The 27608-nt window shown below is 38.5% G+C and overlaps 1 long non-coding RNA gene across 1 annotated transcript, besides 2 other annotated features; it reads left to right on the forward strand.

The window, feature by feature from the left end:
* Nucleotides 1-1651: 1651 nt before the first annotated feature.
* On the forward strand, nucleotides 1652-11011 carry LOC107986287 (uncharacterized). The gene is made up of 2 exons (XR_001741722.2): nucleotides 1652-3859; nucleotides 4678-11011. It is a non-coding gene; the product is annotated as an uncharacterized LOC107986287 (long non-coding RNA).
* Nucleotides 7066-7115: an enhancer, noted in NCBI's record as "active region_21611". NCBI's record gives its function as "activates an Ori minimal core promoter by ATAC-STARR-seq in GM12878 lymphoblastoid cells {active_cell/tissue: GM12878}" and the evidence as "EXISTENCE:reporter gene assay evidence [ECO:0000049][PMID:35858748]".
* Nucleotides 8877-8926: an enhancer, noted in NCBI's record as "active region_21612". NCBI's record gives its function as "activates an Ori minimal core promoter by ATAC-STARR-seq in GM12878 lymphoblastoid cells {active_cell/tissue: GM12878}" and the evidence as "EXISTENCE:reporter gene assay evidence [ECO:0000049][PMID:35858748]".
* Nucleotides 11012-27608: the final 16597 nt, after the last annotated feature.

Here is a 27608-nt window from a genome sequence, read left to right on the forward strand (position 1 = left end):
TTACCTCTTCATGGGAGGATTGTCAAAGTCTCTCTGTAAGAAGAGCATAGTATAGGAGATATTGTTGTAGCCACCTTTGCAAAATACAATTGACACACTTAATATTTATAACTATTGCCTTTACTCCTTTATTGTGTAGATGTAAATCAGTGATTAATTCCAGGTTAAAGGTACTTTTTGGCATGCTCAATAGCCGTCTTTACTTTACAGGAGGAGGTAGAGTACCAGATGGCTTTTCCAAAAGGCATGCTGAAAATTATTAGTAGTTTGATAAAGATTCTGATGAATTCCTCAAGGCTAAATGCAGTGCTGAATTTTCCTTTGTCATCTTCTTTGATCTTCTCAGTGAGAAATTATCTCATCTTCTTCCAAAGCCCATTAGAATGTTGCCTATTTTAAAAGTTGAGTTCTTCATATCATAAATTAAATATTATGTCTAAAGAGTTTCTGGCATATGCTACATACTCAATGATTGCAGGTATTTTCATTAAACCTATTTATATATATTTCTTACCTCCTTCTCCTTTCTTTTCCTGGTGAACTGCAATTCCTTTAGAAGCCAATTCTGAATTTCTAGGCAGAACAGTCATAGTTTTCTTTCGGTTTCAAACTAATTTAAACCCCAAAAACCAGTATTCATGCACAGACTTATTATATTCCATTACCTAGCATTTCTAAAGAATGACTTTTTTTTTTTTTTTTTTTTTACAGAGGTGAGCTTTTTAGATAACTTACACTATTTTAAGTTACAAGGTTTTCATAATCTTAATTTTTTTCAGTGGAAATTTTTTGCTAAATGTGTAATATGCACCTATAATGCTAAGCATAAGCAGATGCTCATAAGCTAGGGATTCCTTTTTCTTCCTCATTTTGTGATGTTTATAGCCTTGCTGCTGCCAGGGTGTCTGTACCTAGTGGCGTTTGCTCCTTTCTCAGAGAAAATTACATAATAGATTGCATAAACATTCTATCTATGATCAGATAATGTGATCTATGAGGGAAAGCCTCAGAGAATCTCTTATGAAGAAGTGAATACATTTGCTTGTTTTTGATTTTGAATGAGTATGATACAACAAAATAATAATAAATTATAAAATATAATTAAATTTTATTTAATAATATTCATTAAATAAAAATATTATTATCATGCCAGTTTTATGGTTTGAATATCACCTTTGCATGCATTTTCTAACTTGTTTTTGAAAACCTCACTGTAAGGTACAGTTACTCATAGTAAAAACAATATGTGATCAATATAATGTTTTTAATAAAAATATGGAGTTGTTCTAAACTTTCGTTTATTTATTTATTTCTTTTTGAGACAGAGTCTGGCTCTATCGTCCAGGCTGGAGTGCAGTGACATGATCTTGGCTCACTGCAACCTCTGCCTCCCTGGTTCAAGTGATTCTCCTGCCTCAGCCTCCTGAGTAGTTGGGATTACAGGCATGCACCACAATGCCCAGGTATTTTTGTTTTTTTTTTTTTTTTTTTGTATTTTTAGCACAGACAGGGTTTCACCAAGTTGGCCAGACTGGTCTGGAACTCCTGACCTCAAGTAATCCACCTGCCTCGACCTCCCAAAGTGCTGGGATTACAGGCTTGAGCCACCGTACCAGGCCCTGAAATTTTAAAATATGACTTATATCCTTACCACAAAGAGATACCAATTTTGGTATATTTTCTTGTCTTATTTTTTTCTAGTCACAGATTTTATTTTATACATGATATGATCACACTGAATATACAATTTTGATTAGAGATTTAGACATACCTACTTTGTACTAGAAGTATATATCTTCTCAAGAATAATGAACATTATTTATTTAACTGTCACCCTTCCCTTCTGTTGAACCATTTTATTTATTTCCAAAATTTTGCAACCCTAACAAAACATGCCTGTACTTCTTTTTCCATAATTATGTTTTTATTTATTTAGAAACATTTCTTGGTAAGAGAGTTGGCAGTAATCCTAAGTTAAAGATATGAATATTTGAGGGGATGAGGGAGTTCACTAATATATATTACAAAACTGGAACATACACTTAAGATTAGGAGTATGAGTATGAGTATGAGATATGTTCCAAATAACACGGTTAGTAACTTGGATGAAAGCAAAATACAACTCTAAGACATTATTGAAATTTGTTCTGGTGGCTCTCTGAACTTTTGATTGCTTACTTTCTTGTGCTCACTTATGTTCTAAATGCTTGAGATTCCGGAACAAGTGATCTTTGGGAAAGAAAGATTTTATAAAACACACCATGCTATACTTCTGCATTTTGGCCTCTTTTAAACAACTCAGTAGAAGACTTTTTAATTTCGAAGAGAAACACAATTTTTATCTTTGTTTCCTTCTTTATTAATAATGAGATTAACTTTTTCTGTTACTGCAAGACTTCTTTAATAAACTGTTTTTTTCTAATCACAGCTAGAATGCAACAAAAATATATTAGAGAATTATCTTTGAGATATCATAATTTATGTGAAATTATTTTGAAAAGTGCTTGTTCATATCTTTTGCCCACTTTTTGATGGGGTTGTTTGTTTGTTTTTTCTTATATATTTGTTTAAGTTTCTTACAGATGCTGTAATTAAATTTACTTATGAAGTAGAAAAAGCAGTGTAAGTTATATCTAGATTTGTAGACTTTGTTGCTGTTGTTAATCACCCCTTTTGATTAAACCTGTTTGAAAAATCATTTATCTCTCATTTTACAAAGTCTGTTAATGGAAACCTGGCTCCTTTCTCTCCACTTATGTTACTTGCCTGTTCTAATAGGGCACATAGTGCCGTAGATGTAGATGAAAAGGCATAATCCTCAACTGCCCTTGTCATCTCCTACTTCAACTTATTCCATCCATTCAAATCCTTTAGTCTCTTTCTCAGAGAACAAAAGATTTTGGATGTTCAGATTCAGGCACTTACTGAATTTTTCTGCATTGTAAAGGCTGGAGGAGAAAAGGTATTTTTTTCTCTTGGAAGCTAGGAACAATTTTGCTCCAACATCACGTGAAACTGAAAAAGTGGGGCTGGGGGTGGAAGAGATTGTTGCCCAGTGTGCTTCTTCCCTGGCCCAGACTGTGTTTCTATACAAGTGGACCTCTGAGGACATACATTTACCTAACATCACTTTCTCCAACTTAGGACAACACTGGGCTTCCTGGAAGCTCAGTTCTCCTTACAGGGCAGGCCCAGACTCCCTATTTCCAGAGAAATTTCAGGGATGTTGCTCAATTGTCAACAGAAGCAAGGGAAACCCAAGCATCTTATACTTTTTGTCTTTATGATAATAGATTTAGCTAGGAAAGTGAGGATGGATAAATTTTGAAGGCTGGTCAACCTTATATTTCATTGCTTATCTAAGCAACTTCTTTTGTTTTTAAATTTAACTTTCATTTTAAGTTCAGGGATACATGTGCATCTAGTTACTTAATTGCTGCACACACTCAGCCTTATCAGCCTTAACCTGATGCCATAATGTAGCTTCAACGTATCACTCTTAGATTTAGATCTTCATCCAATTCTTCTTTCCTGAACCCTTAGTTTATATCCATGACTGCTTAGAGATGTGTAGATGCTACACGGAAGTCTTAAATATCCTTGAGCTCTATATTCACACAGCAAACTATTTGGATTTGCTTTTTAGCCACGCTCCTCAAACCTGTTCTTTTTTCCTGAATATCAATTTTAATAAATTGTGCTACCATCAACCCAGTCTCCTATATTATTCTAGATTATTTTTCTTCACTCTACTTTGTTTCTAAACTAATTGTTGTTTATTAAAATTATCAGTTCTACCTTTCAGAAGTGCTTAAGTCTATCTGGACATTGATTTGGTTCAAACCTCACCATTTTAAAGGTAATTTTTCTCAATAGCCTCTAAATACCTTGTATGTCATTTCCCAAATGTCATGTTTTTATACCTCTAAGACTCTTTATATATAAAGATGAATAGTTCTAAATGCTCTTCTTTTTCTTCAGCTGTTTCAAGCTAACTTCTATTTGTCCTTTAAGATTCAAATTGTTCAAGATCTTCATGGTGACCTCCATCCAGTCTGGAGCCAGTCCCTCTTCTTTCTTCTAAACCATTATATGTGTACTTTTCTTACAACTTCTATTTATAATGTATTATAATTGGTATTGTTTGTTTCACTCTTGGTATTGTTTAATTGTTTCACTCTCCAAGTGTGAGTTTCTAAATGTAGAGACTAGCTTATTCACACCCATACACAATTATTTGTGTATATATGTTTATTAGTACATACGGAAGTGTAGTAGTAATAATATACAACGTGTATAGTAAATTAACAAATAGTGATGTGGTTCAGAGATGAAATACTTCCCAAACTGTGATCTTAAAATAAGAACAACAATAGAAAAACAATAAAACTCTCCATTTGTACTTTGTTGGGCTAAACACGGGAACAATAATACAGTCTGTCTCCTCTTATGTTCTTTAAGAGATGTTTGAAAATCTTGTGACACTTGAGTATGGTCAAGCAGAGAAGCTTTCTTTGTTAGAGTGAGTCACTATAAATGATCTCTTTGTTCTCTCAGTTTGCCAGGGATAAAGCAATATAAGTTACCAACTTTTTCTCTGTTTTTCTGTTAAGAACAATAAAAAATAATCTCAGAATGAAATCTTCAAAAATAACTTCTCCTTTTTATGTTTTATAGAGCCAGCTTATAAACTACCCCTGCTCTAAACAGGCTATCCTATCCAGCAAGGTCACTCAATCCTGTGAACAGCCAGTGCCATTCCAAGGGGAAGGCATATTAACTCAGAAAATGCTGACACACCTGACCTTTCATCCCTGCCACTCAGCAGTTCTACAGAAGACCAATTTGTATGCAAACAATTCACTTACAAGCCAGAATTCCTACAAGCATAATACAGTTTTTCTGTAAACTCTTAGTGATAGAATATGTATTTATGAATTCCTTGGGAAGGGTTGCAAACTCGAATGACCACAAGGGCCAGCCAGGGATGGAGTGGGAACTGTGGGCAGGAGGAGATGCTTTGTAGAGTCCAGAGGTGGCAGTGACTGTTCAGCACCAGAAACATTGCCATATGGGAACTCAGACTTCAGGTAGTTGGGTCTCCTGCATTTTGAGAGAAGCTAGAAATGTCTTGGTATTTAAATGTTCACAACTAACATAGGAATTTAAAAAAAAAAGATGAAGTCAAGTGTATGCAGGTTTTGTTTTAAGGGACTTAGAAATAAGCAAGAGCTTTAGATTCATATACTTTGTCAGCTCTTCTGTTTTAATTAACTTAATATCTACTGCCAGACCCTTGGTAAAACATTTAAAGATTAGAGAGTTGGGGTATTAACATCTCTGGTGTGCATTCAGAAGTGTATATTAACTAGGCAAACTGATTTCAATATACACTAATACATTATTGCTGTGGAAATTGTCTGGAAATGGAAATATTTCCAAAGTCCCTTTAGGGAGTGTTATTTAGAGCTAAACAGAACAACAGAATCTCAGTTTTCCTCAAAGTTCTTTGTAGAATAATCTTAGTTATATTTCCAAAATTATATTTGATACTGGTTAATAAAGGTAAATGCTGCCATCTGAACTCACTTATTATAAATGTCTAAACTTGCATTTGGTAGTAAAATGTTGACAGGCACAACTTCCTAGTGGAAAGCACATTGGACTGTGAGTTGGGAAATGTGAGTTCCAGTCCTAGTTTTGAGTGCATAGCTGTGGAATGGAGGTCAAGTCATTTGATTTACCCAGGCTTTTGTGTTACAACTGTAAATTAAGGTGGTTGGAAGATAACTTCAAAGATCCCTTCTATAATTCTGTTCCTTTGAAAATATTCTAGAGTTCGAATTTCTCTTTCTTGTGACATAGAAGAATGTTTAGATTATGTATGGATGGTTCACTTAAAAGTTTATTTGGGACAGGCAGCCAGCACTTTTTTTGAAAAAATGGTCATACTTACTAATATAAAATTTAGTCTTAAAGATTATTAGGAAAAGTGTATTCTCACCAAACACTTGAAATTATTTTTAGTAAAAGTAAATAGAGTCTCTGAGCCAGAAACTACCCGTTGTTAATCAGGATGTTTCGGGCTCAAGTTCTAAATCTGCCACTCATTACTGTGTGACTTTAGAAAGATCATGTAATTGGCCAGATACAGTGGCTTATGCCTGTAATCCCAGCACTTTGGGAGGTTGAGGCAGAAGGACTGTTTGAGGCCAGGAGTTCAAAAGCAACCTGAGCAACGTAGTGACATCCTGTCTCTACAAGAAATTAAAAAATTAACTGGGTGTGGTAGCCCATGCCTGTAGTCCCAGCTACTTGGGAGGCTGAGACGGGAGAACCTCTTAAGCCCAGGAGGTAAAGATTGCAGTGAGGGGTGATCGCACCACTACATTCCAGCCTAGGCAACATTGTGAGACCCTGTCTCAAAAACAAACAAACAAAAAAAATCATGTATTGATTTGATTTTCTTATCTTAAAATGTAGGCAATAAAACCTCTCTTCTAGCTTTCCAGGTTTCCAAATGCTTTAAGGTCAGTTAAAATTTAATAGTCATAATTGGCTTTTGTGGAAAACTTCATGACCTCAGACTTTTATTGTTTACCTTTTAATGTGTTTCATATGATACAGGTTTCCTTATGAATATTCAAAAAGATATCCAAAGTTGGCAGTTCCAGTGATTTTAAGAGTGGATATAGTATATAAAAATGGATTGAGAAAGTGCTACAAATTAGAAAACCCTTTGGAATGCTATAGCTGTGGGACAATTTTCTTAAAAATAAAAAAAAAGCAAAAACCCCCTTTCTCACAAATGATTATAAAAATAGGCAATATTCTAGTGCTATTAGTAGTTCCATGCTTTCGTAAATGATTGTGCATGTTTTTGCTAACTGCAAACACTAGACAAGAAATAAAATTTCCGTCTAAACCACAGGCCACATCACCATACTATAGCAACTCTATGGATGAGTCACTGACTTATGGATTCTGTGTTTCATGAAGCTTCTGCAATCTCTTCTTTACAGTGAATGTAGCTGTTTGCTTGGCATAGTAGCAGATAGCAAGACAGCACAGACTATTAGAGTGGAGGGGAGAAATGGAAGAATGAAGGGCAAAAACATCTCTTGTCCTGAGTGGGCTCAAGCAGGTATGCCTAGCATCTTTCTTTCCCATAAAGAAGGATAAGTGAGAGTGATTTAGCCTCCTGCAGGTAAGCACTGTCTGATGGCATCACTGTTAGGCCTCCACAAGAGTCATTATGATAATAACACCTTACAGGAGAATGACTTTTTTTTTTTTTTTTTGAGATGGAGTCTCGCTCTGTCACCCAGGCTGGAGTACAGTGGCGCAATCTCGGCTCACTGCAAGCTCTGCCTCCTGGGTTCATGCCATTCTCCTGCCTCAGCCTCCAGAGTAGCTGAGTCTACAGGTGCCTGCCACCACTCCCGGATAATTTTTTTGTATTTTTAGTAGAGATGGGGTTTCACCGCGTTAGCCAGGATGGTCTCCATCTCCTGACCTCGTGATCCGCCCGCCTCGGCCTCCCAAAGTGCTGGGATTGAGAATGGACATTTAGAGTTTACAAAGCAGCTTTACAACCAGTGTCCTATTTGATTACAACAGCCTGAGTCACTAAGTACATTTTATAGATGGTAGAGTATTGAGTTTCAAGAGGTTCAAGTGACTTGCCTGATGTCACACAGTCAGTAAGGACAGGGCTAAGTGTGAAATTCAGGCCAACTGTTTGCAAAAACAATAACAATTTTCCCTATAACAGCCACTGCTCGTTAGGATAAGGTGGACTAGGTCTGACTAATTAAGCTGATAACCAGCGCTCTTGCTAAACAACTAAGCCTACAAGGTTATTGGTACCTTCCCACTGGAATCTTATATTCATGGTTCAAGAACTCTGAATTTGTCTTTCTCTCGAGAATCCATTTAATTCACTTCAATTTATATTCATGGAGTATTTTACTAAATACTAATATTTTACTAAATAAAAAGTATATGCTTTTATTAAATCATGGCTTCTTAATATGTATCTATTACTATTACTATTACTAAATACTAAATATTTTACTAAATAAAAAGTATATGCTTTTATTAAATCATGGCTTCTTAATATGTATCTATATTTCTATACCTACGTCTATATCTCTGTATCTGTGCCATTTATGTAAAAAGCCCATTTTATTGAAATAACCAATACATACACATGCACACTGACCAATCAAACTTACCTTGATAAAATAGCTCTAAGGTTCTCTTTCTGGCTTGATAAATAATTTGCCTTGTGTTTGTAAAGTATTTCATTTAAGGCCACAAATGAGTTTATAACACAGAAAATTGAAGGCCAGTCTTGCTGTCCCACTTTTTCTCCACAAAATACATGGCAGTTTCCCTTTTAGCAAAACTTGACTTCCAATATTTGCAAACTCAGTAACTAAATAAAGCTTTGGGTTTAGGAAAACAGTTACATTATACTATATGAGAATATGTTTTTGCAATCTTAAGATAAATTATTGCAATGATAGTTTAACACTGATTATCTCTATTTTTCAGAAGCAGATTTTGCAAAGAGTGGTATGTAAAAAGCAATTATCATGTAAAAAAATCATTATGATTTACATGAGAAGTTAGGAGGTAGTAACTTCCATGACAGGGATGCCTGTAAGATAGTGTTCACATTTGTGCTTGATGGTTTTAGTTCATTCCGGATGCTGAGAGTTGCTAAGAGTTTACATCCAAACTTAAAAATGTCAGAGACCAAGGAAAAAAGTCAGCTGAGAATTAACCTAGCTCTCTCTGATGAGATAGACAGCAACCTAACTTTGGGTGCCTTCACACTACTTTCCAGGCCAATTCCTCTGATACCAGACAATGCCCAGAGGTCAGGGTGCAAAGCAGGCTCTGACTGCCCTCCTGCAATCCCATAGAGACCTCTCCCTCACACCTGAACATTTAGTTTGGGGCTTTGCCTATGATTTTGAGTCAAGACTGACAGAGATCTAATCCAGGGTTCCTTTTCCAGTTTCAAGTCAGATCCACAGAGCAAATTTCGCATTTTCATCACCAAGAAGAGAGCTAAACAGATATATTAGTTATTTGCCTGTGGGAACATACACCCTTTCTTGTGGGCAGGGAGCCTGGGAAATCCCCTCGTATTTCAAAAATTCAATTGTCAAAAAACAAAAGCCAATTTTGAGTAATCTTTGAGATTTTACTATAATTCTGTGTCAAAGCAGAGTATTGAGGAAAAGTTTAGTTTGCTATATTAGCCTAAGATATTGAGCTTAAATTAAATATCCAGAATAATGGATCCAGAAAAGCTATTCTTATTTTAGAGAGTTTTTGGCGTATTACTTTTTTTTTTAAAGAAATGTTGTATTCAGTTGCTAATGCCCAGGATAAAAATTAGATCTATGGTTCTCAAACTCCAGGGGGCCTCAAAATTTCCTGGAAAACTTACTAAAACGCACAGACTCCCCCACCCCGAGTTTCAGATCCAGTAAGTCTGAGATGAGGCCTGAGAATCTGCACTTCTAACAAATTACCAGTGATGCCGATACTCTGGTTCAGGGTTCACACTTTGAGAACCACTTGATTAGGTTGACTGTTTCATTGATTGTTATAGAAACTAAATTCTTCCCGCAACTCCATTTCTATTATAAATGTAGTAATTGGTTCTAATACTTTGTTGTCCTCAACATGTAATTGCGTAGAGTCTTTCTTATTAAAATCTCTCTCCATATCTTCTGACTTCCACCACTACTCTCGTAGTTTAGGCCATCATCATCTCTCACCTGAATGGTGGAAACAGCTTTTGAACTGCTTCTTCCCTCACTTTGCCTCCTGCCCATCTCCAATCCATTCATTATAAAGAAATAATAACTATTTTAAAGACAATGTAAATCTGATTTTGTAGCTAGGCTTTCTTTCTTCTCCCTGCCTCCTCCTCTCTTTTCAAACCACCTCCATTCAAGAAAATAAAACGACATTCAATAACTTTCCAAAGACTCCCCTCTCACCCTCACCCCACTTCGCCTGGCTCATTCAGAGTTATTGTCAGATCTTAGCTTAGATATCATTTCCTTTGGGCAGCCTGCTTGACCTCCATGGGATGGAATTAGATGCCGTTCTTTGTGCACTGTTGGGGAAATGTAAGTAAACAAAATCTTCTCCCACCTCGGGAAACCTCTCCACAAAGGTAGTGGAGAAATAATCTAGTTTTTTAGAAAATTGAATAAGCATTAAACCAATATGCAATGTGCATCATAGGCCATCCACTAAGAGATTCCAAAGACTAAAGGAAATCTTACCCTGTTATGCAGCCAAATGGACATAACCCATTACACACGTGTTTTTAATATAAACAATAACTCATCCTCAAGTGAGAGAACTTGGCCGTACCATTTATCACACGTAATTAATCTTAACTTTATTCAGTGATTAGAGTGACTAACTGTGTTAGCTAAGTGGCTTTATCAGGGAGTGGGGGAAACTAACCCCAAACAAAAACCAAACAAAAACTTCTTATATTTTTATGGGAGAAGGTAGTCTTGCAACTTGAAGCAAACCTTCCCACAGAAACTTGGAGATAGGGGTGCTATTTTTCTTGTTTGTATTTCAAAAAGATGTCTCTCAGGTCCTTGAGAAAGACATTTCTGGCGCATAACGCTGACAAAAAATATATCTGGTTTTCAATAGGATTTGTGTACATTTCAAAGAGAGGAGACAGTACTAATAATTTTAAGTTTTCTAAAGTAAATACACTAAGAAAAAAGGAGGGAAGGGTAAGGCCTTTTTCTATTTTTAATAGAATTAAGCTTCCTATTTTTAATTTCTTATGTGTCCTTGCAGCACCCACAGCACTTGGTACTCCTCTTAATACATCCAATGTACTGTCTATCTCCCCCACTAGGGTGTGAGCCCTCTGAGAATAGGACTGTTTCCTGATGGTTGCTGTAGCCCTATTCCTACACATGCTAGAAAATCAATAAAAGCTTTAATGACCTATGCATATATTTATTTTAGAAGCTGTTTACTACAAGTCTGATTTTGCAGCTATCCAAATAAGCTTTCATAGTACCTTAATGAGTAGAAAAAAGATGGGTCAGGGTAGAGCAATGCCTGAGGTGAAAAGACATTTCCAGGTGTACTGAAAGAGCCATTGAGCCATTTGAATAAGGGCTGAAAGGATATAATTAAACTCAGTTTAATGCTGTGTTCATCCTAAATCAGAGATCATGTCAGGTACTCAGGAAAGCTTGGTAGAATTCATGTTTGGTCAAACAGTCATTGCCAGGAGTAAGAGGAAATATTCTTTTAGGTTCATAGTCTTCTACAGTAAGAAAGCCCCACAACCATCTGCTCAAGAGTTGGTTGTAAAATTCGCCAGGCATTGTGATGCATGCCTCTAATCCCAGCTACTTGGGAGGCTGAGGCAGGAGAATTACTTGAACCTGGGAGGTGGAGGTTGCAGTGAGCCAAGATCGCGCCCCTGCACTCCAGCCTGGGCAACAGGGTGAGACTCCTGTCTCAAACAAATAGAGTAGATTGTGTTCACAAAGATGATGGTAGCTGCTGTCACCAAATGTTGCCCACTGAGACATAAGCAACAGTTTGTCTGCATTGAGAACTCGGTAACCACATCCGTGACTTTGCCTGTTCTGAAAGTTCTAATCTCCAACATGCATGTGGATCATTAATGTAGTTGTTGAAATTACAGAGAATAATGAATGACATGATAATCATGGAAAGTGAGGCAATTAACTGGGTCTGAAGTCATCAAAAATGAGGAGAATGACTAGGTTTTCTCTGTGTGGGATAAAATAAATAGGGATCTGGAATTTGTCAGATTTAATGGCATGTACTTCAAAAAAGCTACAGCTTTTAGAAGAGAATGGAGAGATACATTGGAAGCAGTAAAAAGGAACCAGATGCTAAAGTAAGTGGTTTTCAAGCAAAAATAGCCTCCTCCTGACAGGTTGTGGGGGGAAGCTTTGTTCTCACGAGAGCCTCTCATGTTTTGTATAGAGCCAGAAAGAGAAGTTCAGAGAAGAGGCTGTGGATATAGGGAAGTTTTCTAAAAGCCACAGATTATGAAGGAGTCAGAGGAAGAGTTAAATAGGGCAGGGAGAGCAGTCGATGGGTCAGGTTATAGATGTGGAAAACATCAGTGTGATGGAGCATGATTTGGGAGCCTTCAATTTCTGACTGGGACTGAGGTGAATGGGGCATGAAGGGCTTGGCCTTGGCAGTTGCACACGTGGCATGCACAACCTCAGGGTAGCTGGTCTTGCCTTGGCTACTGATAACATAATGTGATTGAGATCTTACAAATGACTGGCAGTTCCTTTGATTCTTTCTATCCTACCCATCGAGGTGAACTGAGTCACCTATCAGGGTCTTGAAAAAGAGTCAGGCACATTTTTTTTTTCTATAGACATAGAAATATCTTTCTTAGTGCCATCAATCATCCATCTCTCCACTCCCACCTCTCCCACGACTGAGCCAAGACCCAAGACAGTCCCTTGGCCATGCATTCTCTGTTGGAATGGTTTCCATTGGTGATGAAAGTGATGCTAGGGGCCTTTGTTGGAATCTACCAAAAATGACTATTCTAGGAAAAGTCAGATAGTAAAATTCTAGTTTCCCAGAACTAGCAGAATGTGCCCCCCTGACAGTGGGGCAGTTCCCTTCCAGTGTCCAGCCACCCTTCCTGGCCTCTTTGCACACCTCTGCTCCTGTTTTCAGGAGAACACAGGCCCTGGTTCATATTATTTCTCCTCCTCCAAGATTATAAGAAGTGGCAGCTTATTTCCACAAATTTATTTACTCTAAGTTTCACTCTGTCAAAGCAGGGTCTAAATATTATTAGTCCAATAATACCATCTTGCTGAGTGAGACAAAGTTTCTGTTGCTTTGGGAATCAACACATTCTCATGTGCTGAGTGCCTTCAGTGTGCTGGGCACTGTGCTTAGCCTTTTAATGCGTTATTTACGGTCCTCACAAAAACCTTGCATGATAAGTGCTCAAGTTTTCTTCTTATAGATGAAAATCAGAGAGGTTAAGTGTCTCAACTACCATTACAGACGAGTAAGTGGAGGACCTAACTAAAACCAAAGTCCATTTGACTTCAAAGTTTGTGCCCTTTTTGTGATATTAGAAGAAAAGAGAAGTCCAGATTTTGCATGAACTAGCAGTAAACTTTGTCCCCTTCCTTGCAGGGCTGAATCCCCTATGCCAGGCCTTGGAAGCCCCAAGTAGGCTTTGTAAATGGAGCAATCTCATTGCATAGGCCTGAAGGGTCTGTGATTTTATTTTCTCCAGGCTACCCATGGAGTGATTGCTTTCTGTAATGTGGGACTTAAGCTTTTATGGGTTTGCCAGTGAATTTCAGTCTCACGAACAATATTGTTCCTGTAAAAAAATATATTTTGAGACAAAATCCACCAATTCCAATGGGAAGTAGTCTATATTTATCACTTTAAAGAATTAATTTGTTAAAAATGATTCTTATTCAAAAGTAGTACAATCTGATTTGACAATATATCCTAGTCATACAGACTTGAATAATATAGAGACACAAACACGGTTTTTTTTTTCAAGTTAGGCCTAATTTAGAATGAAGACTGAATATGTACAGAATAGTTGTATAGAAAAATATTACTTATCCTAATTTTTATTAAAATATTAATTTATTTTACTATTAAGTAATGCATAATTATTGCAGGAAATCTAGAAAATACAGAAGAGTAGAAAGAAAAAATAACAATCATTTAATTGCAACATGCAGAGAAATCCATTATAAACATAGATATGTATAGTATAGAAATATATATATAGAAATATAGTATGGAAATATATACTATATATTCTATATAGTATAGAAATATATAGAAATATACATAGTATATATAGTATATATATACACTACATATACGTAGTATATATAGTATATATATACACTACATATACGTAGTATATATAGTATATATATACACTACATATACGTAGTATATATAGTATATATATACACTACATATACGTAGTATATATAGTATATATATACACTACATATACGTAGTATATATAGTATATATATACACTACATATACGTAGTATATATAGTATATATATACACTACATATACGTAGTATATATAGTATATATATACACTACATATACGTAGTATATATAGTATATATATACACTACATATACGTAGTATATATAGTATATATATACACTACATATACGTAGTATATATAGTATATATATACACTACATATACGTAGTATATATAGTATATATATACACTACATATACGTAGTATATATAGTATATATATACACTACATATACGTAGTATATATAGTATATATATACGTAGTATATATAGTATATATATACATAGTATATATAGTATATATAACATAGTATATATAGTATATATAACATAGTATATATAGTATATATAACATAGTATATATAGTATATATAGAAATATATACGCTATATATAGTATAGAAATATAGTGTGTGTGTGTGTGTATATATATATATATATATATATATATATATATATATATATATATAAATGTCGGGAGCGCCTGGCTCATGATGTTGGCTGGAAGTACCAGGCAATGACAGCTACCCTGGAGGAAAAGAGAAAGGAGAAGACCAAGTTCCACTACCATAAGAAACAGCTCATGAGGCTATGGAAACAGGCCAAAAAGAATGTAGAGAAGAAAACTGACAAATACACAGAGGTCCTCAAGACCCATGGACTCCTGGTTTAAGCCCACTGAAGACTGTTTATTCCTCATGCTTGGCCTGGCTTCCCCTTCTTCCATCATTGCCCTGGAATGCGGGGGACCCAGGGGCAGCAGTCCTGGTGCCACAGGCAGCCTGAGACTTAGGAACTTGGGAGCAAGGAGGGGAGGCTGGCAGGATGGCTGAATAGGAAGAGCTATGGTCTGCAGCTCCCATGAGATCGATGCAGAAGGAGGGTGATTTCTGCATTTCCAACTGAGGTACCTGGTTCATCTCACTGGGGCTGGTTGGACAGTGGGTGCAGCCCACGAAGGGCGAGCTGAAGCAGGGTGGGGCATCGCCTCACCCAGGAAGCACAAGGGGTTGAGGAATTCTCTCCCTTAGCCAAGGGAAGCTGTGAGAGACTGTACTGGGAGGAACAGTGCACTCCGGCCCAGATACTGCACTTTTCCCATGGTCTTCACAACCTGCAGACCAGGAGATTCCCTCCTGTGCCCACCCCACCAGGGCCCTGGGTTTTAAGCACAAAACTGGGTGGCATTTGGGCAGACACTGAACTGGCTGCAGGAGTTTTTTTTTTCATACCCCAGTGGCATCTGGAGCGCCAGTGAGACAGAACCATTCACTCCCCTGGAAAGGGCCTGAAGCCAGGAAGCCAAGTGGTCTGGCTTGGTGGGTCCCACCCTCAAGGAGACCAGTAAGCTAAGATCCACTGGCTTGAAATTCTTGCTACCAGCACAGCAGTCTGAACTGGACCTGGGATGCTGGAACTTGGTGGGGGGAGGGGCACCCGCCATTGCTGAGGCTTGAGTAGGCAGTTTTCCCCTCACAGTGTAAACAAAGACACTAGAAAGTTTGAACTGGGCGGAGCCCACCACAGCTCAGCAAGGCTGCTGTGCCTCCTCTCTGCACAGGGCATCTCTGAAAAAAAAGGCAGCAGCCCCAGTCAGGGACTTATAGATAAAACCCCCATCTGCCTAAGACAGAGCACCTGGGAGAAGGGGGTGGCTGTGGGCACAGCTTCAGTAGACTTAAATGTCCCTGCCTGACAGCTCTGAAGAGAGAGCAATGGTTCTCCTAGCACAGCGTTCGAGCTCTGATAAGGGACAGACTGCCTCCTCAAGTGGGTCCCTGACCCCTGTTTATCCTGACTGGCAGACACCTCCCAGCAGGGGCCCACAGACATATACAGGAGAGCTCCGGCTGGCATCTGGTGGGTGCCCCCCGAGATGAAGCTTCCAGAGGAAAGATCAGGCAGCAATCTTTGCTGTTCTGCAGCCTCCACTGGTGATACCCAGGCAAACAGGGTCTGGAGTGGACCTCCATCAAACTCCAGCAGATCTGCAGAAGAGGGGCCTGACTGTTAGAAAGAAAACTAATAAACAGAAAGGAATAGGAATAGTATCAGCATCAACAAAAAGGACATCCACTCAGAGACCTCACCTGAACGTCACCAACATCAAAGACCAAAGGTAGATAAATCCATGATGATGGGGAGAAACCAGCTCAAAAAGGCTGAAAATTTCAAAAACGAGAACACCTCCTCTCTTCCAAAGGATCACAACTCCTCACCAGCAAGGGCACCAAACTGGACAGAGAATGAGTTTGACGAACTGACCAAAGTAGGCTTCAGAAGGTGGGTAATAACAAACTCCCCTGAGCTAAAGGAGCATGTCCTAACCCAATGCAAGGAATAACCTTGAAAAAAGATAAGACAAATTCAAATTGCTCACTAGAATAACCAGTTTAGAGGAGAAGATAAATAACCTGAAGGAGCTGAAAAACACAGCATGAGAACTTCGTGAAGCATACACAAGTATCAATAGCCGAATCGATGAAGTGGAAGAAAGGATATCAGAGATTGAAGATCAACTCAATGAAATAAAGCAAGAAGACAAGATTAGAGATAAAAGAGTGAAAAGAAGAAAACAAAGCCTCCAAGAAATATGGGACTATGTGAAAAGACCAAATCTACATCTGATTGGTGTACCTGAAAGTGACGGGAAGAATGGAACCAAGTTGGAAAACACTCTGCAGGATATTATCCAGGAGAACTTCCCCAACATAGCAAGGAAGGCCAACATCCAAATTCAGGAAATACAGAAACACCATGAAGATACTCCTCAAGAAGAGCAACCCCAAGACACATAATTGCCAGATTCACCAAGGCTGAAATGAAGGGAAAAATGTAAAGGGAAGCCAGAAAGAAAGGTCGGGTTACCCACAAAGGGAAGCCCATCAGACTAACAGCAGATCTCTTGGCAGAAACCCTACAAGCCAGAAGAGAGTGGGGGCCAATATTCAACATTCTTATAGAAGGAATTTTCAACCCCAAATTTCATATCCAGCCAAACTAAGCTTCATAAGTAAAGGAGAAATAAAATCCTTTACACAAGAGCAAATGCTGAGAGATTTTGTCACCACCAGGCCTGCCCTAAAAGAGCTCCTGAAGGAAGCACTAAACATGGAATGGAATAACTGGTACCAGCCACTGCAAAAACATACCAAATTGTAAAGACCGTCGACGCTGTGAAGAAACTGCATCAAATAACAGGCAAAATAACCAGCTAGCATCGTAATGACAGGATCACATTCACATATAACAATATTAACCTTAAATGTAAACAGGCTAAATGACCCAATTAAAAGACACAGACTGGCAAATTGGACAAAGAGTCAAGACCCATCCGTGTGCTGTATTTAGGAGGCCCATTTCACATGCAGAGACACACATAGGCTCAAAATAAAGGGATGGAGGAATATTTACCAAGCAAATGGAAAGCAAAAAAAGACATAGGTTTCAATCCTAGTCTCTGATAAAATAGACTTTAAGCCAAAAAAGATCAAAAGAGACAAAGAAGGCCATTACATAATGGTAAAGGGATCAATGCAACAAGAAGAGCTAACTATCCTAAATATATATGCACCCAATACAGGAGCACCCAGATTCATGAAGCAAGTCCTTGGAGACCTACAAAGAGACTTAAACTCCCCCACAATAATAGTGGGAGACTTTAAAACCCCACTGTCAATATTAGATCAACGAGACAGAAAATTAACAAAGATATCCAGGACTTGAACTCAGCTCTGCACCAAGCTGACCTAATAGACATATTTAAGAACTCTCCACCCCAAATCAACAGAATATACATTCTTTACAGCACCACGTTGCACTTATTCTAAAGCTGACCACATAATTGGAAGTAAAACACTCCTCTGCAAATGCAAAAGAACAGAAATCATAACAAAGTCTCTCAGACCACAGTGCAATCAAATTAGAACTCAGGATTAAGAAACTCACTCGAAAGTGCACAAGTACACAGAAACTGCACAACCTGCTCCTGAATGACTACTGGGTAAATAATGAAATGAAGGCAGAAATAAAGATGTTCTTTGAAACCAATGAGAGCAAAGACACAACGTACCAGAATCTCTGGGACCCATTTAAAGCAGTGTGTAGAAGGAAATTTATAGCACTAAAATGCCTACAAGAGAAAGCCAGAAAGATCTAAAATCGACACCCTAACAGGAAGTTGGGAACAAGGAAAGGGTCTTAGTCACTGCCTTTCTATAAGGTTACTTTAAAGCACACACACGCACACACACAGGCACACACACACACAGTGCACATATGTGTGCACACTTTCACAATTGCCTTCTGACTATCAATCTTTGGATCTAAATGGTGAATAATTCAGGTGTTGCAGGCTGTTGCTACTCACTGCTTATACAGAATTTCAGTTCCAGTGATTATCCCTAGAATCCTCTGAGAGGAGCTTATGAAACTCCTCGCCCCTTTCCACCTCTCAGGAATTCTCCATGGTAGCTCTCCTGGGCACTACTCCTGCGCCATGGGGAATAGTTATGCTCTCCAGGTACAGTTTCCTCTTGCTCAGTTGCAAACTGGATTCCTTGAAATGGCAAAGCTTCTTTATGTTTTATTCTGAAGGGAAGATAATACCTCTCCCTTACCCTGAGGATTGTATATGTTTAGTGGGTGCCATAGAAAGGCTATTTGTGTCTTAACAGTTTGCAAGATTCTAGTGAAAGTACTTTTTTGGTAGTTTTCATACCCTAATCCTTGCATGACTTAGAAATGAGTCTAGTGGAGGCCCAGCTGGGAACCACAGGATTACTCCTGTCTTCCCCTAACCAAGAAAGCCTTTCCTGCTGAGTAGAAGTCTTTGAGCCTGGCCTCTTATGTCAGGATCAATTCTCACAAGTAGTTCCCGACCTTCATGCATTCTGAAAAGAAAGGGCACCCCACCTGTTGTTATATGTGTCCAGATTAAATTATTCCCAAGGAGTGTGAAACCACTGTTACAAATGCAAGCTGGAGATAATATGGAACTTTTTAAAGAAGGCAATAGAAAGCATAACATAACATATAAAATTATTAGCACATTGCATGAATTATGGTAAATGTTAATATACTCAAAAGATATTGGCTACTGCCTTTATTTTAAATATAGCTTTTCAAACATATAATGTTTGCATTTTTGTCATTATTCTTCAAAACAGCATTTCTGGGGGGTTATTATTCTTCAAAATAATCTGGTGGGGTGACCTTCCTTCCCAAAATGTCTCTGTAATATTCCACTACATATGCAATGGGTACATATACAATGAAAAGAGTAGAAAACAAAAATGTTTATCCTAATAATAAGCACATAAAGAGAATTTAATGTAATAATTCTGTTTAGGAGGTTTGCTTGCAGAAAAAATATGTTTAATAAACTTGAAAACAGAGATGGATATTATGAAGTCTGAGGACATCAGGGCCTTTTAGCGGCCTTTACCCATAAAAGTGAGAACAATGAAGAGGTCTGGCTGGTGCATGTCTCTAAACAAGGCAGGCAGTCTTGTAGGATGGCCTTCCAGAACTTAGGGAGTGCTTGTGTTTTTGCTCCTCATTTCTGATGTCGGCTTCTGAACAACCTTGTGAAGCAGGAACCATGTGCAACAGGGATGCAGTTCCAATCAATTTTTGTGGATTTGGTTCACCTGTTGGAGATGAGCTGCCAAGGAAAGAAAAGTGAAACTGTGTTTTCAAGACACTCCCTTGTTTCCATGTTTATTCTCTCAGCACTCTTAGGGTTTATTAAAGTAAAAAAATAAATAAAAGTTACCACAAAAAATGCCAAGACCATTTCCCATTCCAATCATGAGTGGATTAGGAGAAAAATCACAGTCTAGGTGGATTGGAGTAATTGGCTATATTTGGGTTTAGAATATGTTAATATTTATGAACATTTGAGGAAACCAGGAGGACTAGACATGAGTAGAGATGAATACAGCAGTCAAGATCCCAGCTGGAGGGGGAATGCTTAGAATTGGCAGTTGGTGGAAAGAGGATGAATTGAAAAACATTGGTAATTGTACAGAAATGGTATCCTTGGAAAATATAGAGAAATTTTAAAGAAATAACAATTTAAAAGCGTATCTTTTAAATGGGAGGTTTGTTCTAGAAGTTTCTGGGGCATAATCAGAAAGAGTCACTGAATGTGGTTTGGGGTTTAACTAGGGAACAAGGTAAAAAAATATTTTATTTTCTCAGTGGTCTGAAGTTCATGAGAATAGAGGTTGAGGAATAGAGGAAAGATCAAGGACAGGAGAAAAAAGTGTCCTAGTCTATGCATACACACCAACTGCCAGGAGACTACTTATACAATTAATATAATTGTGTATAGTTAATAAGTAAATTATTTTTCACAAGATAGTTGTGTGACTTAAATTGCTGAGAATATCATGGTAGCGTGTAGCACAGTAAATTCATGCAAATTCTCTGAGGCAGGGAGATCTGACACAGATTGCTCTACCAGTGATATGACTTTAGGAGCGGAAACTCAGATATAGCAGGTGATAGTGTCTGAATAGAGAAATGCAAGTGTATAGTTAACAAAACCAAACAAACCAAACACAAAGTAGCTTTGTGCTTTGGCAAAATAGGCTGGGGCTGGTGAGGACTTGGGTTAAGTTTAATAATGGCCTTGGGAAATGTTTTCAAAGGTAATAATTTTCATGAATGCCTTTACCTGCAGTGGCTCCTTTTTACCTGTTCAGCTGAACTGCACATATGCTTATGTTAAGTCATATGTCTATAGTTTAGTCAAGATTAAGCAAACTACATAGCCCTTGAGCTAAACAAGCTCTGCTTCCTGTTTATATAAATAAAATTTTATTGGTAAATGGTCACATCCATTTATTTAAAAATTGTCTATCACTGCTGCATTCAGGCTACAGCAGCAGAATGAGTAACTACTGCTTTATGAACTGTAAAGCCCCAAATATTTCTCTTCACAGAAAATGTTTGCTGACCCCTGAACTAGTACAAAACAAATAAACTCACCTACACCAAAATCCATTTATTTATTTTAAAGTCTTTTTAGTTTTTATGAAACATTAGGAAAACATCTCTCTGAGTTACAATTTTGTATCTACTCAGTAAACACTTCTGCTGAAGTGAAGTGCCAAGTGAATTTCCAAGGAAATTTTCTTGAAATGTTTTTGCTCTTGAGCCTGAATACTACTTGCTTGAACTACTTCATCAATAAAAAAATAGAAAGATTTTTGTGTGCTTTTTCTTATGCTTTTTGCCCAACAACAATCTTCAACTTAATGGTTAAAAAACTCAAAACTGGGGGGGAAGAAGCCAAGATGGCTGAATAGGAACAGCTCCAGTCTACAGCTCCCATCATGAGCGACGCAGAAGATGGGTGATTTCTGCTTTTCCATCTGAGGTACTGGGTTCATCTCACTAGGGAGTGCCAGACAGTGGGCACAGGAGAGTGGGTGCAGCACACTGCACGCAAGCTGAAGCAGGGTGAGGCATTGCCTCACTCGGGAAGCACAAGGTGTCAGGGAGTTCCCTTTCCTAGTCAAAGAAAGGGGTGACAGACGGCACCTGGAAAATCGGGTCACTCCCACCTGAATACTGCACTTTTCTGACAGGCTTAAAAAGCGGCACACCAGGAGATTATATCCTGCACCTGGCTTGGAGGGTCCTATGCCCACGGAGTCTCGCCGATTGCTAGCACAGCAGTCTGAGATCAAACTGCAAGGCGGCAGCGAGGCTGGGGGAGGGGCGCACACCATTGCCCAGGCTTGCTTAGGTAAACAAAGCAGCCGGGAAGCTCGAACTGGGTGGAGCCCACCACAGCTCAAGGAGGCCTACCTGCCTCTGTAGGCTCCACCTCTGGGAGCAGGGCACACACAAACAAAAAGACAGCAGTAACCTCTGCAGACTTAAATATCCCTGTCTGACAGCTTTGAAGAGAGCAGTGGTTCTCCCAGCATGCAGCTGGAGATCTGAGAACCGGCAGACTGCCTCCTCAAGTGGGTCCCTGACCCCTGACCCCTGAGCAGCCTAACTGGGAGGCACCCCCGAGTAGGGGCAGACTGACACCTCACATGGCTGGGTACTCCTCTGAGACAAAACTTCCAGAGGAACGATCAGACAGCAGCATTCGTGGTTCACGAAAATCCGCTGTTCTGCAGCCAATGCTGCTGTTACCCAGGCAAACAGAGTCTGGAGTGGACATCTAGGAAACTCCAACAGACCTGCAGCTGAGGGTCCTGTCTGTTAGAAGGAAAACTAACAAACAGAAAGGACATCCACACCAAAAACCCATCTGTACGTCACCATCATCAAAGACCAAAAGTAGATAAAACCACAAAGATGGGGAAAAAACAGAGCAGAAAAACTGGAACTCTAAAAAGCAGAGTTCCTCTCCTCCTCCAAAGGAACACAGTTCCTCACCAGCAACGGAACAAAGCTGGATGGAGAATGACTTTGACGAGTGGAGAGAAGAAGGCTTCAGATGATGAAACTACTCAGAGCTACAGGAGGAAGTTCAAACCAAAGGCAAAGAAGTTGAAAACTTTGAAAAAAATTTAGACAAATGTATAACTAGAATAAGCAATACAGAGAAGTGCTTAAAGGAGCTGATGGAGCTGAAAGCCAAGGCTCAAGAACTACATGAAGAATGTAGAAGCCTCAGGAGCCAATGCGATCAACTAGAAGAAAGGGTATCAGTGATGGAAGATGAAATGAATGAAATGAAGTGAGAAGGGAAGTTGAGAGAAAAAAGAATAAAAAGAAACGAACAAAGCCTCCAAGAAATATGGGACTATGTGAAAAGACCAAATCTACATCTGATTGGTGTACCTGAAAGTGACGGGGAGAATGGAACCAAGTTGGAAAACACTGCAGGATATTATCCAGGAGAACTTCCCTAATCTAGCAAGGCAGGCCAACATTCAGATTCAGGAAATACAGAGAATGCCACAAAGATACTCCTTGAGAAGAGCAACTCCAAGACACATAATTGTCAGATTCACCAAAGTTGAAATGAAGGAAAAAATGTTAAGGACAGGCAGAGAGAAAGGTCGGGTTACCCACAAAGGGAAGCCCATCAGACTAACAGCGGATCTCTCGGCAGAAACTCTACAAGCCAGAAGAGAGTGGGGGCCAATATTCAACATTCTTAAAGAAAAGAATTTTCAACCCAGAATTTCATATCCAGCCAAACTAAGTTTCATAAGTGAAGGAGAAATAAAATCCTTTACACACAAGAAAATGCTGAGGGATTTTGTCACCAACAGGCCTGCCCTAAAAGAGCTCCTGAAGGAAGCACTAAACATGGAAAGGAAAAACTGGTACCAGCCACTGCAAAATCATGCCAAGTTGTAAAGACCATCGAGGCTAGGAAGAAACTGCATCAACTAACGAGCAAAATAACCAGCTAGCATCAAAATGACAGGATCAAATTCACACGTAACAATATTAACTTTAAATGTAAATGGACTAAATGCTCCAATTAAAAGACACAGACTGGCAAATTGGATAAAGAGTCAAGACCCATCAGTGTGCTGTATTCAGGAAACCCATCTCACATGCAGAGACACACATAGGCTCAAAATAAAAGGATGGAGGGAGATCTACCAAGCAAATGGAAAACAAAAAAAAGGCAGGGGTTGCAATCCTAGTCTCTGATAAAACAGAGTTTAAACCAACAAAGATCAAAAGAGACAAAGAAGGCCATTACATAATGGTAAAGGGATCAATTCAACAAGAAGAGCTAACTATCCTAAATATATCTGCACCCAATACAGGAGCACCCAGTTTCATAAAGCAAGTCCTGAGTGACCTACAAAGAGACTTAGACTCCCACACATTAATAATGGGAGACTTTAACACCCCACTATCAACATTAGACAGATCAACGAGACAGAAAGTTAACAAGGATAACTGGGAATTGAACTCAGCTCTGCACCAAGCAGACCTAATAGACATCTACAGAACTCTCCACCCCAAATCAACAGAACATACATTTTTTTCAGCACCGCACCACACCTATTCCAAAATTGACCACATAGTTGGAAGTAAAGCTCTCCTCAGCAAATGTAAAAGAACAGAAATTGTAACAAACTGTCTCTCAGACCACAGTGCAATCAAACTAGAACTCAGGATTAAGAAACTCACTCAAAACCACTCAACTACATGGAAACTGAACAACCTGCTCCTGAATGACTATTGGGTACCTAATGAAATGAAGGCAGAAATAGAGATGTTCTTTGAAACCAATGAGAACAAAGACAAAACATACCAGAATCTCTGGGACACATTCAAAGCAGTGTGTAGAGGGAAATTTATAGCACTAAATGCCCCCAAGAGAAAGCAGGAAAGATCAAAAATTGACATCCTAACATCACAAGTAAAAGAACTAGGAAAGCAAGAGCAAACACATTCAAAAGCTAGCAGAAGGCAAGAAATAACTAAAATCAGAGCAGAACTGAAGGAAATAGAGACACAAAAAACCCTTCAAAAAATTAATGAATCCAGGAGCTGGTTTTTTGAAAGGATCAACAAAATTGATAGACTGCTAGCAAGACTAATAAAGAAGAAAACAGAGAAGAATCAAATAGACGCAATAAACAATGATATAGGGGATATCACCACTGATCCCACAGAAATACAAACTACCATCAGAGAATACTACAAACACCTCTATGCAAATAAACTAGAAAATCTAGAAGAAATGGATAAATTCCTTGACACATACACCCTCCCAAGACTAAACCAGGAAGAAGTTGAATCTCTGAATAGACCAATAACAGGCTCTGAAATTGTGGCAATAATCAATAGCTTACCAACCAAAAAGAGTCCAGGACCAGATAGATTCACAGCTGAACTCTACCAGAGGTACAAGGAGGAATTGGTACCATTCCTTCTGAAACTATTCCAATCAGTAGAAAAAGAGGGAATCCTCCCTAATTCATTATATGAGGCCAGCATCATCCTGATACCAAAGCTGGGCAGAGACACAACCAAAAAAGAGAATTTTAGACCAATATCCTTGATGAACATTGATGCAAAAATCCTCAATAAAATACTGGCAAACCGAATCCAGCAGCACATCAAAAAGCTTATCCACCATGATCAAGTGGGCTTCATCCCTGGGATGCAAGGCTGGTTCAATATACGCAAATCAATAAATGTAATCCAGCATATAAACAGAGCCAAAGACAAAAACCACATGATTATCTCAATAGATGCAGAAAAAACCTTTGACAAAATTCAACAACCCTTCATGCTAAAAACTCTCAATAAATTAGGTATTGATGGGACGTATTTCAAAATAATAAGAGCTATCTATGACAAACCCACAGCCAATATCATACTGAATGGGCAAAAACTGGAAGCATTCCCTTTGAAAACTGGCACAAGACAGGGATGCCCTCTCTCACCACTCCTATTCAACATAGTGTTGGAAATTCTGGCCAGGGCAATTAGGCAGGAGAAGGAAATAAAGGGTATTCAATTAGGAAAAGAGGAAGTCAAATTGTCCCTGTTTGCAGATGACATGATTGTGTATCTAAAAAACCCCATTGTCTCAGCCCAAAATCTCCTTAAGCTGATAAGCAAATTCAGCAAAGTCTCAGGATACAAAATCAATGTACAAAAATCACAAGCATTCTTATACACCAATAACAGACAAACAGAGAGCCAAATCATGAGTGAACTCCTATTCACAATTGCTTCAAAGAGAATAAAATACCTGGGAATCCAACTTACAAGGGACATGAAGGACCTCTTCAAGGAGAACTACAAACCACTGCTCAATGAAATAAAAGAGGATACAAACAAATGGAAGAACAGTCCATGCTCATGGGTAGGAAGAATCAGTATCGTGAAAATGGCCATACTGCCCAAGGTAATTTATAGATTCAATGCCATCCCCATCAAGCTACCAATGACTTTCTTCACAGAATTGGAAAAAACTACTTGAAAGTTCATATGGAACCAAAAAAGAGCCCACATCGCCAAGTCAATCCTAAGCCAAAATAACCAAGCTGGAGGCATTATGCTACCTAACTTCAAACTATACTACAAGGCTACAGTAACCAAAACAGCATAGTACTGGTACCAAAACAGAGATATAAATCAATGGAACAGAACAGAGCCCTCAGAAATAACGCCGCATATCTACAACTATCTGATCTTTGACAAACCTGAGAAAAATAAGCAATGGGGAAAGGATTCCCTATTTAATAAATGGTGCTGGGAAAACTGGCTAGCCATATGTAGAAAGCTGAAACTGGATCCCTTCCTTACACCTTATACAAAAATTAATTCAAGATGGATTAAAGACTTAAACGTTAGACCTGAAACCATAAAAACCCTAGAAGAAAACCTAGGCATTACCATTCAGGACATAGGCATGGGCAAGGACTTCATGTCTAAAACACCAAAAGTAATGGCAACAAAAGCCAAAATTGACAAGTGGGATCTCATTAAAGTAAAGAGCTTCTGCACAGCAAAAGAAACTACCATCAGAGTGAACAGGCAACCTACAAAATGGGAGAAAAATTTTGCAACCTACTCATCTGACAAAGGGCTAATATCCAAAATCTACAATGAACTCAAACAAATTTACAAGAAAAAAACAAACAACACCATCAAAAAGTGGGCAAAGGACATGAACAGACACTTCTCAAAAGAAGACATTTATGCAGCCAAAAAACACATGAAAAAATGCTCATCATCACTGGCCATCAGAGAAATGTAAATCAAAACCACAATGAGATACCATCTCACACCAGTTAGAATGGCAATCATTAAAATGTCAGGAAACAACAGGTGCTGGAGAGGATGTGGAGAAATAGGAACACTTTTACACTGTTGGTAGGACTGTAAACTAGTTCAACCATTGTGGAAGTCAGTGTGGTGATTCCTCAGGGATCTAGAACTAGAAATACCATTTGACCCAGCCATCCCATTACTGGGTATATACCCAAAGGACTATAAATCATGCTGCTATAAAGACACATGCACACGTATGTTTATTGCGGCACTACTCACAATAACAAAGACTTGGAAGCAACCCAAATGTCCAACAATGATAGACTGGATTAAGAAAATGTGGCACATATACACCATGGAATACTATGCAGCCATAAAAAATGATGAGTTCATGTCCTTTGTAGGGACATGGATGAAATTGGAAATCATCATTCTCAGTAAACTATCTCAAGAACAAAAAACCAAACACCGCATATTCTCACTCATAGGTGGGAATTGAACAATGAGAACACATGGACACAGGAAGGGGCACATCACACCCTGGGGACTGTTGTGGGGTCGGGGGAGGGAGGAGGGATAGCATTAGGAGATATACCTAATGCTAAATGACAAGTTAATGGGTGCAGCACACCAGCATGGCACATGTATACATATGTAACTAACCTGCACATTGTGCACATGTACCCTAAAACTTAAAGTATAATAATAATAAAATAAAAAATAAAAAAACAAAACAAAAAAATCTCAAAA

The sequence above is a fragment of the Homo sapiens genome, chromosome 4, assembly GCF_000001405.40.
Source record: "Homo sapiens chromosome 4, GRCh38.p14 Primary Assembly".
In the NCBI taxonomy this organism is placed as follows: Eukaryota; Metazoa; Chordata; class Mammalia; order Primates; family Hominidae; genus Homo; species Homo sapiens.